At 40.3% G+C, this 18790-nt stretch overlaps 1 long non-coding RNA gene across 1 annotated transcript in view, besides 1 other annotated feature; it reads right to left on the bottom strand.

The window, feature by feature from the left end:
* The window catches only part of PM20D1-AS1 (PM20D1 antisense RNA 1), a 34009-nt gene that overhangs the window by 9375 nt on the left and 5844 nt on the right, over positions 1-18790 (bottom strand). The gene's annotated exons all lie outside the window — the stretch shown is intronic.
* Positions 15848-16349: an enhancer, noted in NCBI's record as "NANOG hESC enhancer chr1:205839492-205839993 (GRCh37/hg19 assembly coordinates)". NCBI's record gives its function as "activates a minimal SCP1, AML or CMV promoter by ChIP-STARR-seq in primed H9 embryonic stem cells {active_cell/tissue: H9 hESC(primed)}" and the evidence as "EXISTENCE:reporter gene assay evidence [ECO:0000049][PMID:30033119]".

Below are 18790 nucleotides of genomic sequence, written 5' to 3'. Positions count from 1 at the left end.
TTAACTTGAGCCCTCACTCTTGCAAAGGAATTTTGCGTCAATATTTATAGTGACTCTGAATATGCCTTCCATATCCTGCACCACCATGCTGTTATATGGTCTGAAAGAGGTTTCCTCACTATGCAAGGGTCCTCCATCATTAACGCCTCTTTAATAAAAACTCTTCTCAAGGCCACTTTACTTCCAAAGGAAGCTGGAGTCATTCACTGCAAGCACCATCAAAAGGCATCAGATCCCATCATTCAGGGCAATGCTTATGCTGATAAGGTAGCTAAAAAAGCAGCTAGCATTCCAACTTCTATCCCTCACAGCAGCTTTTCTCCTTCTTATCTGGTCACTCCCACCTACTCCCCCACTGAAACTTCCACCTATCAATCTCTTCCCACACAAGGCAAATGGTTCTTGGACCAAGGAAAGTATCTCCTTCCAGCCTCACAGGCCCATTCTATTCTGTCGTCATTTCATAGCTTCTCCCATGTAGGTTACAAGCCACTAGCCTGACTCTTAGAACTTCTCATTTCCTTTCCACCATGGAAATCTATCCTTAAGGAAATCACTTCTCAGTGTTCCATCTGCTATTCTACTACTCCTCAGGGATTGTTCAGGCCCCCTCCTTTCCCTACACATCAATCTCAGGGATTTGCCCCCAACCAGGACTGGCAAATTGACTTTACTCATACGCCTTGAGTCAGGAAACTAAAATGCGTCTTGGTCTGGGTAGACACTTTCACTGGATGGGTAGAGGCCTTTCCCACAGGGTCTGAGGAGGCCACCATGGTCATTTCTTCCCTTCTGTCAGACATAATTCCTCGGTTTGGCCTTCCCACCTCTATACAGTCCGATAACAGACCGGCCTTTACTAGTCCAATCACCCAAGCAGTTTCTCAGGCTCTTGGTATTCAGTGGTGCCTGGTTTTACCTCAAACTGCCACCCTTAAGTCTCTGTTTAAGTGGATAGAAGATCTTCATTGACAAAGTACACTCCAATACTTTCACCCTGATGAAGTCCTATTCTTTACTTTTATACTCACTCTTATTCTGGTTCCTATTCTTATGCCACCCTCTACCTCTCCCCAGCTATCTCCACCACACTATCAAACTCACTCTCTCCTAGCCATTTCTAATCCTTCTTTAACAAACAATTGCTGGCTTTGCATTTCTCTTTCCTCCAAAATCACCAAGGCCCTGACTTACTCACTGCTAAAAAAAAGGGGAAGGGGGACTCTGTATATTTTTAAATGAAGAGTGTTGTTTTTATCTAAATCAATCTGGCATGGTATAAAAAAACTCAAGGATAGAGCCAAAAAACTCACCAATCAAGAAAACAGTAACATTGAATCCCCTTGGACACTCTAATTGGACATCCTGGGCACTCCCAATTTCTAGTCATTCAATATCTATTTTTCTCCTTCTTTTCTTCAGACCTTGTGTCTTTCATTTAGTTTCTCAATTCATACAAAACCGCATCCAGGACATTACCAATAATTCTATACAAAAAATCCTCCTTCTAACAACTCCACAATATCACCCCTTACCAGAAAATCTTCCTTCAGCTTAATCTCTCCCACTCTAGGTTCCCACATTGCCCCTAATCCTGCTTGAAGCAGCCCTGAGAAACATCGCCTATTATCTCTCCATGCCACCCCCAAAATTTTTCACCACTCCAACACTTCACTATTTTGTTTTGTTTTTCTTATTAATATAAGAAGACAGGAATGTCAGGCCTCTGAGCACAAGCAAAGCCATTATAGCCCCTGTGACCTGCGTGTATACATCCAGATGGCCTAAAGCAACTGAAGATCCACAAAAGAAGTGAAAACAGCCTTAACTGATGACATTCCATCATTGTGATTTGTTTCTGCCCCACCCTAACTGATCAATGTACTTTGTAATTTCCCCCACCCTTAAGAAGATTCTTTGTAATCTCCCCTACCCTTAAGAAGGTTCTTTGTAATTCTCCTCACCCTTGAGAATGTACTTTGTGAAATCCACCCCCTGCCTGCAAAACATTGCTCCTAACTCCACCGCCTATCCCCAAACCAATAAGAACTAATGATAATCCCACCACCCTTGCTGACTGTCTTTTTGGACTTAGCCTGCTTGCACCCAGGTGAAATAAACAGCCTTGTTGCTCACAAAATATATATATATATGTGTATATATATATATATATGTGTATATATATATACATATACATATATATGTGTATATATATACATATACATATATATGTATATATATACACATATATATATATATACACACACATATATATATACACATATATATATATATGTATACACATACACTGGCTGAATGGATAAAAACACAAGACCCAGTCATATGCTGCTTACCTTTAAAGACACACAGACTGAAAGAGGACAGATAGAAAAAGATACTCCATGCAAAAGGAAACCATATTTGAGCAGGAGTAGCTATACTTATATCAGACAAAACAGACTTCAAGTTAAAAGCTGTAAAGAGCTAAAGAAGGACATTATATAACAGCAAAGGTGTCAATTCAATGAGAGAATATAACTGTTGTAAATATATGGGCACCCAACACTGGAGCACTCACATACAAATAAAGCAAATATTATTAGATCTAAGGGAAGAGACAGGTCCTAATATAATAACAGTTGGGGACTGCAACACCCTACTCTTGTCCCTGGACAGATCATCTAGACAGAAAATCAACAAAGAAACATCAGATTTAAACTGCACCATAGACCTAGTGGACCTAAGAGATATTTACAGAACCTTTCACCCAATTGCTACAGAATACACATTATTTTCATCAGAACACAGAACATTCTCCAGGATGGACCATATATTAGGCCACAAAACAGTCTCAACAAGTTTTAAAGAATCAAAATTATATTAAGTGTCTTCTCAGACCACAGTGGAATAAAACTAGTTATCAACACCAACAGGAACTTTGGAAACTATACAAATGAATGGAAATTAAACAACATGCTCCTGAATGACCAATCGGTGAAGAAATAAATTAAGAGTAAAATTTTTAAATTCCTGGAAAAAATGAAAATACAAATACACATACCAAAACCTGTAGGATACAGCAAAAGCAGTATTAAGAAGCAAGTATATAGCAATAAATGCCTACATCAAAAAACTAAAAAGGTCTCAAACAACCTAACAATGTTCCTCAAAAAACTAAAAAAGCAGGAACAAACCATACCCAAAATTAATAGAAAGAAATAAATAATAAGGGCAAAAATAAATGAAACTGAGACTAGAAAAACAATAACAATACAAAGGATCAATGAAGCAAAAGTTGATTTTTTGAAAAGATAAACAAAACTAACAAATCATTTAATAGACTAAGAGAAAAGAGAGAGAACCCAAATAAATGAAATCAGAAACAAAAAAGAAGACATTACAATGTATACCATAGAAATACAAAAGATCATTACAGAATATTGTGAACAATCATATGCTGACAAACTGGAAAATCTGAAGGAAATGGATAAATTCCTGGAAACATACAACTTACCAAGATTGAACCAAGAAGAAACAGAAAACACAAACAGATCAGTAACAAGCAACAAAATCAAATAGTAATAAAAATCCTTCCAACAGAGAAAAGTCCAGGACCAATTGCTCCATTGCTTAATTCTACTGAACCTTTAAAGAATTATTACCAATTATTCTCAAACTATTCCAAAATATTAGATCAGAAGGAATTCTTCCTAACTCATTCTATGAGGCCAGCATAATCCTGATACCAACACCAGACAAGGACACAACAGGGCAATACCTCTAGTGAACATAAATGCAAAAATCCTCAGCAAATACTAGAAAACCAAATCTAACAGCACATCAGAAACATAATACCCCATGATTGAGTGGGATTTATACCAGGAATGCAAAGATGATTCAAAATATGCATATCAATAATTGTCACCCATCACATCAATAGAATGGAGGATAAAATACTATGATAATCTCAATAGATGCAGAAAAAGCTTTTTATAAAATTCAACATTTCTTTATTATAAAAACCCTTAATAAATTAGGTATAAAAGGAAAGTACCTCAACCTAATAAAGGCCTTATATGATAAATCCACAACTAATATCTTACTGAACTGAGAAAAGCTTAAAGATTTTCCTCTAAGAAGTATAACTGGGCAAAGATACCTACCTTCACCATTTGTAGTCAACATAGTGCTGGAAGTGCTAGTCAGAGCAGTCAGGCAAGAAAAAGAAATAAAAGGTATTGAAATTGGAAAGGAGGAAATCAAATTATTCCTGTTTGCAGATGACATAATCTTATATATAGAAAAACCTAAAGGGTTTTTTTTTTCTTAGAACCGATAAATGAATTCAGTAAAATTGCAGGATACAAACTTAATATACAAAAATCAGTAGCAGCTCTATACACAAACAGCAAACTAGCTGAAAAAGAAATCAAGAGGGCAATCCCATTTACAATAGCAAAAAATATATAAAATACCTAGGAATAAATTTAACCAAGAAGGTGAAAGACCTCCTCAAGAAAACTACAAAAAACTGATTTAAAATAAAGAAAATGAAGATGATACAAACAAATGGAAAAATATCCCATCCTCATGGAATGGAATAATTCATATAATTAAAATGACAATCCTAACCAATGCAATCTGCAGATTCAATCCAATCCCTATGAAAATACCAATGACATTTTTCAGAGAAATAGAAAAAAAAAATCCTAAAATTTGTGTGGAACCACAAAAGACTCCAAATGGCCAAAGCAACCCTGAGCAAAAAGAACAATGCTAGAGATATCACAATACCAGACCTCAACATATACTACAGAGCTATAGTAACCAAAACACATGGTATTGCATAAAAACAGACACATAGACCAATAGAACAGAGTAGAGAACCCAGAAATTAATCCACATATTTACAGCCAACTGATTTTTGACAAAGATGTCAAGAACACTCATTGGGACACCTCTTCAATAAATGATGCTGGGGGCTGGGTCCAATGGCTCACATCTATAATTCCAGCACTTTGGGAGGCTGAGGTGACCTCTCACCTCTTCCCTTGCTTGAGCCTGGGAAGTCAAGGCTGCAGTGTGCTGTGACTGCACCACTGCTCTCCAGCCTGGGCAACAGAGTGAGATTCTGTCTCAAAAAAATAAACGTGATGCTAGGAAAACTGGATACCAACATGCAGAATGAAACTAGGCTCCCACCACTCACCCTATACAAAAATTAACTGAAAATGGATCTAAGACCTAAATGTAAGACACACAACAATTAAACTACTGGAAGAAAACATAGGGGAAACACTTCAGGACATTGGTCTGGAAAAAGATTTTATGGATAATACCTTATAAGCACAGGCAACAAAAGCAAAAACAAGCAAATGGGATTACCAAACCAAAAAGCTTTTGCACAACAACAGAAACCATCAACAGAGGGAAAAAACAACTTACAGAATGGGTGAAAATATTTTCAAACTACTTATCCAACAGGAAATTTATATCCAGAATATATAAAGAACTCAAACTTCTTAACAGTCAAAAAACAATCTGATTTAAAAATGGGCAAGTGACCTGAACAGACACTTCTCAAGAGAGGACATATAAATGGCCAACAGGTATAATTTTAAAATGCTAAACATCACTAATCATCCAGGAAATGCAAATCAAAACCACAGTGAGGTATCATCTCACCCCAGTTAGGATGGCTATTATCAAAAAGACAAAAAATAACAAATGCTGACAAGGATGTGGAGAAAAGGGAATTCCTATACACTGCTGGTGGAAATATAAACTAGTACAGCCACTATGAAGAGCACTATGGAGTTTCCTCAAAAAAAAAAAACTACAAATAGATCATATGGGAACATATGATCCAGCAATCTCACTAATAGGAATTTATCCAATAGAAAGGATATAATTATATCAGAGAGACATCTGCACCCTGATGTTTATTACAGCACTATTCACAATAGCCAAGATATAAAATCAACCTGGGTGTCCAACAAGATATAATTGGATGAAGAAAATGTAGTGTGTATACACAATGGTTTACTATTCACCTATATAAAAGAATGAAATCCTGTCATTTGCAGCAACATGGATGAAACTGGCAAACATTGCATTAAGTGAAATAAGCCAGAAACAGAAAGTTAAACCCTGCATGTTCTCATTCATATATGGAAGCTAAAAAAAAGTTGATCTCATAGAAATAAAAAGTAGAACAGAGGATACTAGAGATTAGGAAGGGTAGGGGGAAGGAAGGGATAGAGAGATTTGTTAAATGATACAAAATTACAGCAAGCAAGCGTTCAATTTAGCTGACTAGATGCAGCTAGAACACACCTCTTCTTTGGAGATGAGCCAAAATAACAAGTAGATATTCATACTTCAAATAGATTATCTATGAGAGAACAATGTAATTCAAAAGAGAAGTGACAGGAAGCACCAAAAGCAAAGAAAAAGAGGGAAGCAAGACAGCCTGCTCAGCCAGGATCAGCTAGGAGCTGAGATAAGCTCCCACACACTAGAGAAAGGGTGAGAGGCCCTCAGGGCTCCACATTCCTCTGAGAACTAGAGAAATGTTCGCAGCCACCACTGCCCCTACCTGAGGATTCTGCTGGTGGCCTGGAGACCACCCAGCCCTGTCTATCACAGCTGGCCCCTGAATGCAATACTCAGGGACTTGAGGACAAGTCTACTAGCCCAATCCTGTCCCCCCAGTACTCAAGCATGCCATTCAGGGGCCTGGAGATCTTCTGGCCCAGTCTACCATCATTGGCACTTGAACACTCCTCCCAGGATCTGAAGTCAGGCCAACCCAATCTGTCAATACTACCAAAGACAGTACCTACCTGTACATGCCACCAATGGGCTATGGAACTGGCCCACTTAACCTGTCACAGCCACCACCAACACCAGCACAGACTACTTGGGTTTCAGTGAGTTGTTCCTCTACTGCTACTGCCACCACCCACATTAGCCTCTCTGCCCAGGGGCCCAAAAACCTGTCAACATGCCCAGCCCACCACTGTCTCTACTGGCATCACAGCAAGCCACCTGGAGGCCCAGTAATCAGCCTCCCTGGACCCACTAACACTAATGCTAGCATAAGCTGCCTTGGGAACCAATGACAGCATGCTCAGCCCCCTGCTGCCAAAACTGGGGCCCAAAGGCTAGCCCACCTGGCATCCTAGTCCCTAGCAAAAACTTCACCACAGCCTCCACTAATAACTGCACCCTAAGTCACTGAGGAAATCACAGATACCACTGATTGTATTTACAACTGAAAAAAACCATAGAAAGATTATACCAGTGCACTCACCCAAAATCAAAGCCAAAGTGCCCTACCCGCCGAAAACACATATACATCCTGAATAAATACTCCTCTATGAAAGCAAATACAAAAAATTGGAATAAGCAACTGTTACACTAGGTGCACAGATGTCAATGTAAAGGCACAGGAAACATGAAAAAGTAAAGGAATCTAAATGTTTTCTTGGACTGTTTGTTTTTACATAAAAAAAAGAAAAAGTAAAGGAATCTGATACTTCCAAAGGAACACAATAAATCTCCAACAGCAGATCCCATAAAAGAAATTATGAAATCCCAGATAAATAATTCAAAATACAGAGTTTAAGAGAGCTCAGAGAGATGTGAGATAATTCTGAAAAACAATACACAGAAATAAAAAAACAATTCAGGATATGAATGAGAACTTTACTGAAGAGATAGTTTTTTTTTTATTCTGGAACTGAATAATTCATTGAATTAAATACAAAATACATTTGAAAGCTTCAATAGTCTAGATCAAACAGAAAAAAGAATTTCAGAACTTGAAGACAAGTCTTTTGAACTAATCCAGGCAGATTAAAATAAAGAAAAAATTAGAAAGAATAAGCAGAGCTTTTGTAACCTTTGGTACAACATAAAGTGAACAAATATTCAAATTACCACTGTCCCTGAGAGTGAAGAGAAAACAAAGGGTTAGAAAACTTATTTAACAAAATATTAGTTGAAAACTTCCCAAATCTAGCAAGAGATCTAGATATCCAGATGGAGGAGGCCCAAAGATTCCCTAACAAATATAATGGAAAAAGATCTTCTCCATGGCATATTGTAATCAAACTGTCTAAAGTCAAAGCAAAGTATAGAATACTAAAAACAGTAAGAGAAAAGCAACTAGTCACCTATAAAGAAACCCATATCAAAACCTTGCAGGCCAGGAGAGAATGGGATAACATATTGAAAGTGCTGGGAGAAAAAACCTGCCACCCAAGGACACTACATCCAGCAAAATTCATAAATGAAGGAGAAACAGTTTTTCCCAGACAAGTAAATTCTGAGGGAACACACCACAAGACCAGCCCTACAAGAAATGTCCAAGGGAGTCCTGAACTTGGAAGTGAAAGGACATTTACCATAATAAAAACACACAAAAGTATAAAACTCACTGGTAAACCAAATACATAAATGAGGAAGAGATAGGACTTAAGTGGTACCACTACAGTAAACCACCAAACCACAATTACTATCAACAAGAGGGAAGAAAAGAACAAAGAATATACAAAACAACCAGAAAATAATTAACAATATGACAGTAATAAAACCTCCATATCAATAATAGCCTTGAATGTGAATGAATTAAATTTTCCACTTAAAAAATATAGACTGGCTGAATGGATAAAGAAACAAAATCCAACAAAATAGTGCCTACAAGAAAGAAACATCTACACTCAAAGGAATGGAAAAAGATATTCCATGCAAATGGAAACCAAAAGCAAGCAGAAGTAGCTATACTTATATCAGATAAAATTAAGTCAAAAAGAGTAAAAAGGGCTGGGTGTGGTGGCTCACGCCTGTAATCCCAGCACTTTGGGAGGCTGAGGTGGGCAGATCACTTGAGGTGAAGAGTTCAAGACAAGCCTGGCCAACATGGCAAAACCCCATCTTTACTAAAAATACAAAAAAAAAAAAAAATGTGCCGGGCATAATGGCAGGCATTTGTAATCCCAGCTACTTGGGAGGTTGAGGCACTGGTATAAAAACAGACACATAGACCAATGGAACAGAATAGACAGTCCAGAAATAAATCCACACATTCACAGCTAACTGATTTTCAATAAAAGCTTCAAGAACATACACTGGGGGAAAGATACCCTCTTCAATAAATGATGTTGGGAAAATTGGATATCTGTATCCAGAAGAATGAAACTGGACCCTTTTCTCTCCCCATACACAAAAATCACTGAAGATGGATTAAAACTGTAAACATAAGACCCGAAACTATAAAACTGCTAGGAAAAAACATAGAGAAAATATTTTAAGACATGAGTCTAGGCAAAGATTTTATGGCTAAGACCTCAAAAGCACAGAAACTATAACAAAAATAGACAAATGGGACTATATTGAACTAAAAAGCTTCTACACATCAAAGGAAACAATCAACAGAGTGAAGAGACAACTTACTGAATGGGAGAAAATATTTGCAAACTATTCATCTGACAAGGGACTAATAGCCAGAATATACAGGAATATCAAACAACTCAACAATAATAAAAAAACAAATAATCTCATTTAAAAGTGGGCAAATGACATGAATACATATTTCTCAAAAGAAGACATACAGACTGGGCATGGTGGCTCACATCTGTAATCCCAGCATTTTGGGATGCCAAGGCAGGAGGATTACTTGAGGTCAGGAGTTTGAGACCAGTCTGAGAAATATACTGAGACCCTGTCCCCACAAAAATTTAAAAAATTAGCCAGGCATGGTGGTGCGCACCTGTAGTCCCAGCTACTCAGGAGGCTGAGACAGGAGGATCACTTGAGCACAGGAGTTTGAGGTTACAGTGAGCTATGATCCTGCCACTGCACTCCAGCCTGGGTTACAGAAAGAGACTCTGTCTCAAAAAAAAATTAAATTAAATTAAATTAAAAAATAAAAAGACTACAAATGGACAGCAGGTATATGAAAAAATGCTCAACATCACTAAGCATCAGGGAAATGCAAATCAAAGCCACAATGAAATATCATCTTACCCCCATGAGAATGGCTATTAATAAAATTACAAAAAATAACAGATGCTGGTGAGGATGTGGAGAAAAGGGAAATCTTATACACTGTTAGTGGGAATGTAAATTAGTACAACCACAATGGAAAACAGTATCAGGATTTCTCACAAAACTAAAAGTAGAACTACCATATGATCGGGCAATCCCACTACTGGATATTTGTCCAAAGGAAGTCTGTATACCAAAGGAATGCCTGCACTTGCATGTTTATGACTGTGCTATTCACAATAGCAAAGATATAGAATCAATCTGTGTCATCGATAGATGAATGAATATAGAAAATGTGACATACATGTATGCGTATATATATATATATGTACACACACACACACATACACACATATACAAGTCAAATGTGATTTGGACATAAGAAAGAATGAAATTATGTCATTTGCAGCAACATGGATGGAGCTAGAGGTCATTACTTTAAATGAAAAAACTTAGACACAGAAAGACAGATACCTCATGTTCTCACTCATATATGGGAGTTTAAAAAAATTGATCTCCTGGAGACAGAGAAAAGAATGATAGATAACAAAGGCTAAGAAGAATGTGTGGGTGGGAGGGAGGATAAAGAGAGATTTGTTAACTGGTACAAACATATAGTTAGATAGAACAAAGAAGCCCCAGTATTCTCTTGCACAGTAGGGTGCCTATAGTTGGCAACAATGCATTGTACATTTCAAAGTAGCTAGAAGAGAGGATTTGAAATGTTACCAATACATAGAAATGATAAATACTCAAGGTGATAGGTACCCCAAATACCCTGACTTGATCATTACACATTCTATGCATGTAAAAAATACATGTGCAGAACAAAGACCCACCCGTAACATTTGGTGGCAACCATACAGGGATTCTCCAAAGCAGTGAGTAATATTGTACCACTTTTGCTTGCTATTCTGTCCTATCCTTCCTTAGAACTGGAGGAAAATACTGGGCACCTGTTGGCCAGTTAAAAATGATTAGCATGGCTGCTGGACTTAAGACTCAAGTGTGAGGCTTCCTGGGAAAAGGCTTTCTAACAACCCCCAACCCTTCTGGGTTGGGAGCACTGGTCTGCCTGGAACCAGCTTCTGCTTTCACAATTTCCTGGGGGAAGCCAAGGGCCGACTAGAGGCAGAAAGCTGTCATCCTGAACTCCTGGCATTGGCCAGTCGAGATCATGGCACAGCCAGAAGTCTCTACTCAACAGTTGCCCATGCATGCGCCCCTACCTCTCCTTCTGACCCATACCTCCTGGGTCCTGACCATGACTTTCTTGAAAGTGTAGCCCCAAAATTCTCCTTACCTCTGAATCTACTTCCTCCGATCCCTGCCTCCTAGGTACTAATGCTTCAGACTTTCATTTCCTCTCCAAGTATTAGAGCAAGTTATATCTCCAAAGGGATCTAAGGAAGCTCTACACTGCATCCTTAGGCATGTAGACTATGAACCCAGGGAGTCTTACCCCTGGTGTCCCTCCCAATTTAGGCATACAGCTCTAGACATGGGCAGTTACGTGGGAACTATTCCCCACTACCCTTGCCAGAGCCCCAAGTTTGTAAATGGCTAGTGTCTCACATGTCCGTGTAAAGAGACCACGAAACAGGCTTTGTGTGAGCAACAAGGCTGTTTATTTCACCTGGGTGCAGGCAGACTGAGTCCGAAAAATGAGTCAGTAAATGGTGGTGAGATTATCATTAGTTCTTACTGGTTTGGGATAGGTGTACAAAGTACCTTCTTAAGGGCAGGGGGAGAATATTACAAAGTACCTTCTTAAGGGTGGGGAAGAATATTACAAAGTACCTTCTTAAGGGTGGGGGAGAATATATATTTTCAGTTAGGGTAGGGCAGGAACAAATCACAATGGTGGAATGTCATCAGTTAAGGCTATTTTCACTTCTTTTGTGGATCTTCAGTTGCTTCAAGCCATCTGGATGTATACACGCAGTTCACAGGGGATATGATGGCTTAGCTTGTGCTCAGAGGCCTGACATTTCTGTCTTCATATATTAATAAGAAAAACAAAACAAAATAGTGGTGAAGTGTTGGGGCAGCAAAAATTTGGGGGGGTGGTATGGAGAGATAATAGGTGATGTTTCTCAGGGCTGCTTCAAGTGGGATTAGGGGCGGTGTGGGAACCTAGAGTAGGAGAGATTAAACTGAAGAAAGATTTTGGGGTAAGGAGTGATATTGTGGAGTTGTCAGAAGAAGCATTTGTTGTATAGAATTATTGGTGATGGCCTGGATGCGGTTTTGTATGAATTGAGAAACTAAACGAAAGACACAAGGTCTGAATAAGAGAAGAAGAAAAACAGGTATTAAAGGACTAAGAATTGGGAGGACCCAGGACATCCAATTAGAGAGTGCCCAAGGGTGTTCAGCATAATTATTTGTTTGGTTGGTGAGTTTTGGGCGGTTTTTTGGTGAGTTTTTATATCCTTGAGTTTTTTTATGTTGTCATATGCCAGGCCAGATTGATTTAGGTAAAAACAACATTCTTAATTTAAAAATACACAGAATCCTCCTTTTTCAGCAGTGAGTAAATTGAGGCCTCAGTGATTTTGGAGGAAAGAGAAATGCAAAGCCAGCAATTGTTTGTTAAAGAAGGATTAGAAATGGCTAGGAGAGAGTGAGTGAGATTGATAGTGTGGTGGAGATAGCTGAGGAGAGGTAGAGGGTGGCATAAGAATGGGAATGAGAATAAGAGTGAGTATAAAAGTAAAGAATAGGACTTCATCAGGGTGAAAGTGTTGGAGTGTGTCCTGTCAGCAAAGATCATCTATCCACTCCAAGAGGGAGTCAAGAGTGGAGGACTGGGGATAGATATTCATGATGGAAAGGAAATGAGAGGTTTTAAGAGAGGAGCTAACAGTGTGTAACCTACATGGAAGAGGTTATGAAATGATGACAGAATAGAATGGGCCTGTGAGGCTGGAAGGAGGTATTTTCCTTGGTCCAAGAACCATTTGCCTTGTGTGGGAAGAGATTGATAGGTGGAAACTTCAGTAGGAGAGTAAATAGGAGTGACCAATTAGAAGGAGAAAAACTGGCCATGAAGGATGGAAGTTGGAATGCTGGCTGCTTCTTTAGCTACCTTATCAGCATAAGCGTTGCCCTCAGTGATAGGATCTGATGCCTTTTGGTGGCCCTTGCAGTGTATGACTCCAGCTTCCTTTGGAAGTAAAGTGGCCTTCAGAAGAGTTTTTATTAAAGAGGCATTAATGATGGAGGACCCTTGCATAGTGAGGAAACCTCTTTCAGCCCATATAACAGCAAGGTGGTGCAGGATATGGAAGGCATATTTAGAGTCACTATAAATATTGACACAAAATTCCTTTGCAAGAGTGAGGGCTCAAGTTAAGGCAATGAGTTCAGCTTGCTGAGAGGTAATGGAGGGGGGCAGAGTGGTAGCCTCAATGATAGATGTGGAAGATACTCTAGCATAGCCTGCCTTTGCTGGTGAGTGGAGATTAGGCCTGGTGGAACTGCCATCAATAAACCAAGTGTGATCAGGGTGAGGAACATGAAAGAAGGAACTACAGGGAAATGGAGTGAATGTCAGGTGGATCAGAGAGATATAGTCACTGGGGTGGGGGCCAGCCTAAAACAGTAAGGTCAAGTTGTATGAACAGAAAGCCTACAGGGCATGGTCCTGGCTCTTGTGTAAGAATTTTGACCGCACAGCCCTGTACCTTGCCTGTGTGTAATGAAAAGGGTTGGGATGAGTTAGGGAAAGCCAGCATTGGGGCAGCTTCTGGGGCTGTTTTTAAGGAACAGAAAGAGGAGCGGCAAAAGGATTTAGGATCTATGGGGTCAGCTAGGTTTGCTTTTGTGAGTTTACATAATGGTTTAGTCAGGATGGTAAAACTAGGTATCCAAAGGCGGAAGTACCTAACCATGCCTAGGAAGGAAAAGAGTTGTTGTTTTGTAGAAGGGGTTGGGTTTGGGAGATTAGCCAGACACAATCAACAGGGAGAGCACATGTGTTTTCATGAGGAATTATGCTGAGATAGGTAACAGATGAGGGAGAAATTTGGGTTTGACTGAAGTAATGGGGGCTGTCCGCGAAGCCTTGCGGCAGTACAGCCCAGGTAAGTTGCTGAGGCTGATGGGTGTCAGGGTCAGTGCAAGTGAAAGCAAAGAGAGGCTGGGATAAAAGGTGCAATGGAACAATAAAGAAAGCATGTTTGATATCCAGAACAGAATAATGGGTTATGGAGGGGTTGTGGAAGGAGGCATTGAGGATAGGAGAGTATATGGTTTTGACACCATGGAGTGGACAGGCAAGACAATTTGGTTGATAAGGCACAGATACTGAACTAACCTATAAGGCTTGTCTGGTTTTTGGACAGGTAAAATGAGGGAATTGTAAGGAGAGTTTATTGGCTTTAAAAGGCCATGCTGTAACAGGCAAGTGCTTTAATCCATTTAAAGCATGCTGTGGGATGGGATGTTGGCATTGAGTGGGGTAAGGGTGATTAGGTTTTAATGGGATGGTAACGGGTGCATCATCCATTGCCAAGGAGGGAGTAGAGGTATCCTATACTTGTGGATTAAGGTGGGGATATACAAGGAGAGGATGTGAAGAAGGCTTTGAACTGGGACAAAAGGCAGCAATGAGTTGTGGCTATAGCCCAGCAATAGTCAGGGCAGCAGATAATTTAGTTAAAATATCTCCACCTGATAAGGGAGCTGGGCAGGTGGGGATAACTAAAAAGGAGTGCATTAAAGAATGTTGTCCAAGTTGGCACCAGAGTTGGGGAGTTTTAAGAGATTTAGAAGCCTGGCCGTCAATACCCACAACAGTTATGGAGGCAAGGGAAACATGCCCTTGAAAAGAAGGTAATATGGACTTGGTAGCCTCTGTATTGATTAAGAAGGGGATGGACTTACCCTCCACTGTAAGTTACCCAAAGCTATGAGTAACTTAGCTTTGAGTCACTATGTCACTATCTGAGGGGTCTTAGAACAGGCAATCTCCAGGCCTTGGCTCCTTGTCCAGGGCCTTAGAACTGATGACCCAGTACTTTAACAACTGGAACTGGGTCTATGACAACAGATCAGGATGAAAGCAAATGGAGTAAATAAAAGGGAGGCACATATTCCTATAGTGGCAAATGGGGGTAATGAGTGAACGTTCTTCTGCTGTGTTCCCAAAACCCATCTATAAAAAGAGAAAGAGAGAGAGAGGAAGAGACAGAGAGACAAAGAGGGAGTCAAAGAGAGGAGAGAGAGAGAGACAGAGACAAAGAGGGAGTCAGAGAGAGAAAGAGAGAGACAGAAAGTCAAAGAGAGAGAGAAAGAGATATACAAGTAAAGAAAAAACAGTGTACCCTATTGCTTTAAAAGCCAGGGTAAATTTAAAACCTATAATTGATCATTGAAGGTCTTCTCCAGGACCCTATAACACTCCAATACCAACTTGTCAGTGTAAACAAGGGTGTAGCCCGAAAACACTGAGACCACTGACAACCTGTAGTCTTCCTATCAAAAATCCTTTAACCCAGTAACCTGCGGATGGCCCAAATGCATTCAATCAGTAGCCGCTACTGCTTTGCTAACAGAAGAAAGCAGAAAAATGCTTTTAGAGGAAACCTCACTGTGAGCACACCTCACCAGTTCAGAACTATCCTAAGTAAAAAAAGCAGAAAGGTAGCTTACTAACTCAAAAATCTTAAAGTATAGGGCTATTCTGTTAGAAAAAGATGACTTAACATTAACCACTGAAAATTTCCTTAACCCAGCGGGTTTCCTAACGGGGGATTTAAATCTTAATTACCATACAAAGGTCCGACCAGACCTAGGAGGAACTCCCTTCAGGACAAGAGGATAGATGGTTCCTCCCGGGTGATTGAAAAAAAAACACACACGCACAGTGGGTATTCAGTAATTGATAGGGAAACTCTTGTAGAAGCAGAGTTAGGAAAATTGCCTAATAATTGGTCTGCTCAAACATGTGAGCTGTTTGAACTCAGCCAAGCCTTAAAGTACTTACAGAATCAAAAAACTCTATCTCAATCTTGACTCAAAAGGTTACCTACACCCGCTCTGAAACAAATTTGCATAAGAACTGTTGTTTATGGGAATGCCTCTTGATGGGGCAGCTGGGTTGTTAGGAAATAGGAACCCAGCCCAGCTCTAGAACTCACCCCTGAGCATAAAGGCAATGTTGGGCACACTGGTAAAGGGCCACTAGAATCCAGCAGCCCAGACCTCTTTCTTTGTGGTCAAGAAAGGCAGGAAAACAGGTGTAGGGCTGCTACATCAGTGAGCATAACTAATCTGATAAGCAGAGGTCCACGGGTGGTTATGCACCCTGGAAAGGAATAAGCATTAGGGCCTTAGAGGATGCTCTCAGACAAATGCTCATTGGAAAATGACTAGGGGTGCTGGCATCCCTATGTTCTTTTTTCAGGTGGGAAATGTTCCCCACACGGCAAAAATGCACCTAAGATGTATTCTGGAGAATTTGGCCCAGTCAGAGTGTATGTACCTTTTTCCCTCTCAGACTTGAAGCAAATTAAAATAGACCTAGGTAAATTCTCAGATAACCCTGATGGCTATATTGATGTTTCACAAGGATTAAGACAACCCTTTGATCTGACATGGAGAGATATATATATAATGTTACTGCTAGATCAGACACTAACCCCAAATGAGAGAATTGCCACCATAACTGCAACTCCAGAGTTTGGCAATCTCTGGTATCTCAGTCAGGTCAATAATAGGATGACAACAGAAGAAAGAGAACAATTCCCTACAGGCCAGCAGGCAGTTCCCAGTGTAGACCCTCATTGGGACGCAGAATCAGAACATGGAGATTGGTGCTGCAGACATTTGCTAACTTGTCTGCTAGAAGGACTAAGGAAAACTAGGAAGAAGACTATAAATTATTCAGTGATGTCCACTATAACACTGGGAAAGGAAGAAAATCCTACCGCCTTTCTGGAGAGACTCAGGAAGGTATTGAGGAATCATACCCTCTGTCACCTGACTCTATTGAAGGCCAGCTAATCTTAAAAGATAAGTTTATCACTCAGTCAGTTGCAGACATTAGAAAAAACTTCAAAAGTCCACTTTAGGCCTGGAGCAAAACTTAAAAACCCTAATGAACTTGGCAAACTCGGTTTTTTATAATAGAGATCAGGAGGAGCAGGTGGAATGGGACAAATGGGACAAAAAAAAAAGGCCATGGCTTTAGTCAGGGCCCTCAGGCAAGCAGACTTTGGAGGCTCTGAAAAAGGGAAAGTCTGGGCAAATTGAATGCCTAATAGGGCTTGCTTCCAGTGCGGTCTACAAGGACACTTTTAAATAGATTGTCTGAATAGAAATAAGCCACCCCTTTGTCCATGCCCCTTATGTCAAGGGAATCACTGGAAGACCCACTGCCCCAAGGGACCAAGGTCCTCTGAGTCAGAAGCCACTCACCAGATGATCCAGCAGCAGGACTGAGGGTGCCCAGGGCAAGCACCAGCCCATGCTATCACCATCACAGAGCCCTGGGTATGCTTGACCATTGAGGGCCAGGGGGTTAACTGTCTCTTGGACACTGGTGCAGCCTTCTCAGTCTTACTCTTCTGTCCCAGACAACTGTCCTCCAGATCTGTCACTATCTGAGGGGTCCTAGAACAGGCAGTCACTAAATACTTCTCCCAGACACTAAGTCGTGACTGGGGAACTTTACTTTTTTCTTATGCCTTTCTAATTTTGCCTGAAAGCCCCACTCCTTTGTTAGGGAGAGATATCCTAGCAAAAGCAGTGGCCATTATACATTAGAATTAAGAGAAGGAAAAGGGGTAAATATATACATAGAGTCTAAGTATGCTTACCTAGTCCTCCATGCCCATGCAGCAATATGGAGACAAAGGGAATTCCTAACTTCCAAGGGAACACCTATCAAACATCAGGAAGTCATTAGGAGATTAGTATTGGCTGTACAGAAACCTAAAGAGGTGGCAGTCTTACACTGCCGGGGTCATCAGAAAGGAAAGGAAAGGGAAACAGAAGGGAACTGCCAAGCGGATATTGAAGCCAAAAGAGCCACAAGGTGGGATCCTCCATTAGAAATGCTTATAGAAGGACCCCTAGTATAGGGTAATCCCCTCCAGGAAACCAAGCCCCAGTACTCAGCAGAAGAAATAGAATGGGGAAACTCACGAAAACATAGTTTCCTCCCCTCAGGATGGCTAGCCACCGAAGAAGGAAAAATACTTTTGCCTGCAGCTAACCAATGGAAATTACTTAAAATGCTTCATGAGACCTTTCACTTAGGCATTGATAGCACCCATCAGATGGCCAAATCATTATTTACTGGACCAGGCCTTTTCAAAACTATCAAGCAGATAGTCAGGGTCTGTGAAGTGTTCCCTGCCTTATCACCAAGCTCCTTCAGGAGAACAAATAGCAGGCCATTACCCAAGAGAAGACTGGCAACTAGATTTTACCCACATGCCCAAATCTCAGGGATTTCAGTATCTACTAGTCTGGGTAGACACCTTCACTGGTTGGGTGGACGCTTTTCCTTGTAGAACAGAAAAGACTCAAGAGGTAATGAAGGCACTAGTTCATGAAATAATTCCCAGATTCAGACTTCCCCGAGGCTTACAGAGTGACAATGGCCCTGCTTTCAAGGCTACAGTAACCCAGGGAGTATCCCAGGTGTTAGGCATACAATATCACTTACACTATGACTGGAGGCCACGATCCTCAGGAAAAGTTGAGAAAATGAATGAAACCTAAT

This window comes from Homo sapiens, chromosome 1, assembly GCF_000001405.40.
Source record: "Homo sapiens chromosome 1, GRCh38.p14 Primary Assembly".
In the NCBI taxonomy this organism is placed as follows: Eukaryota; Metazoa; Chordata; class Mammalia; order Primates; family Hominidae; genus Homo; species Homo sapiens.
This window is presented reverse-complemented; position numbering and strand designations above follow the sequence as displayed.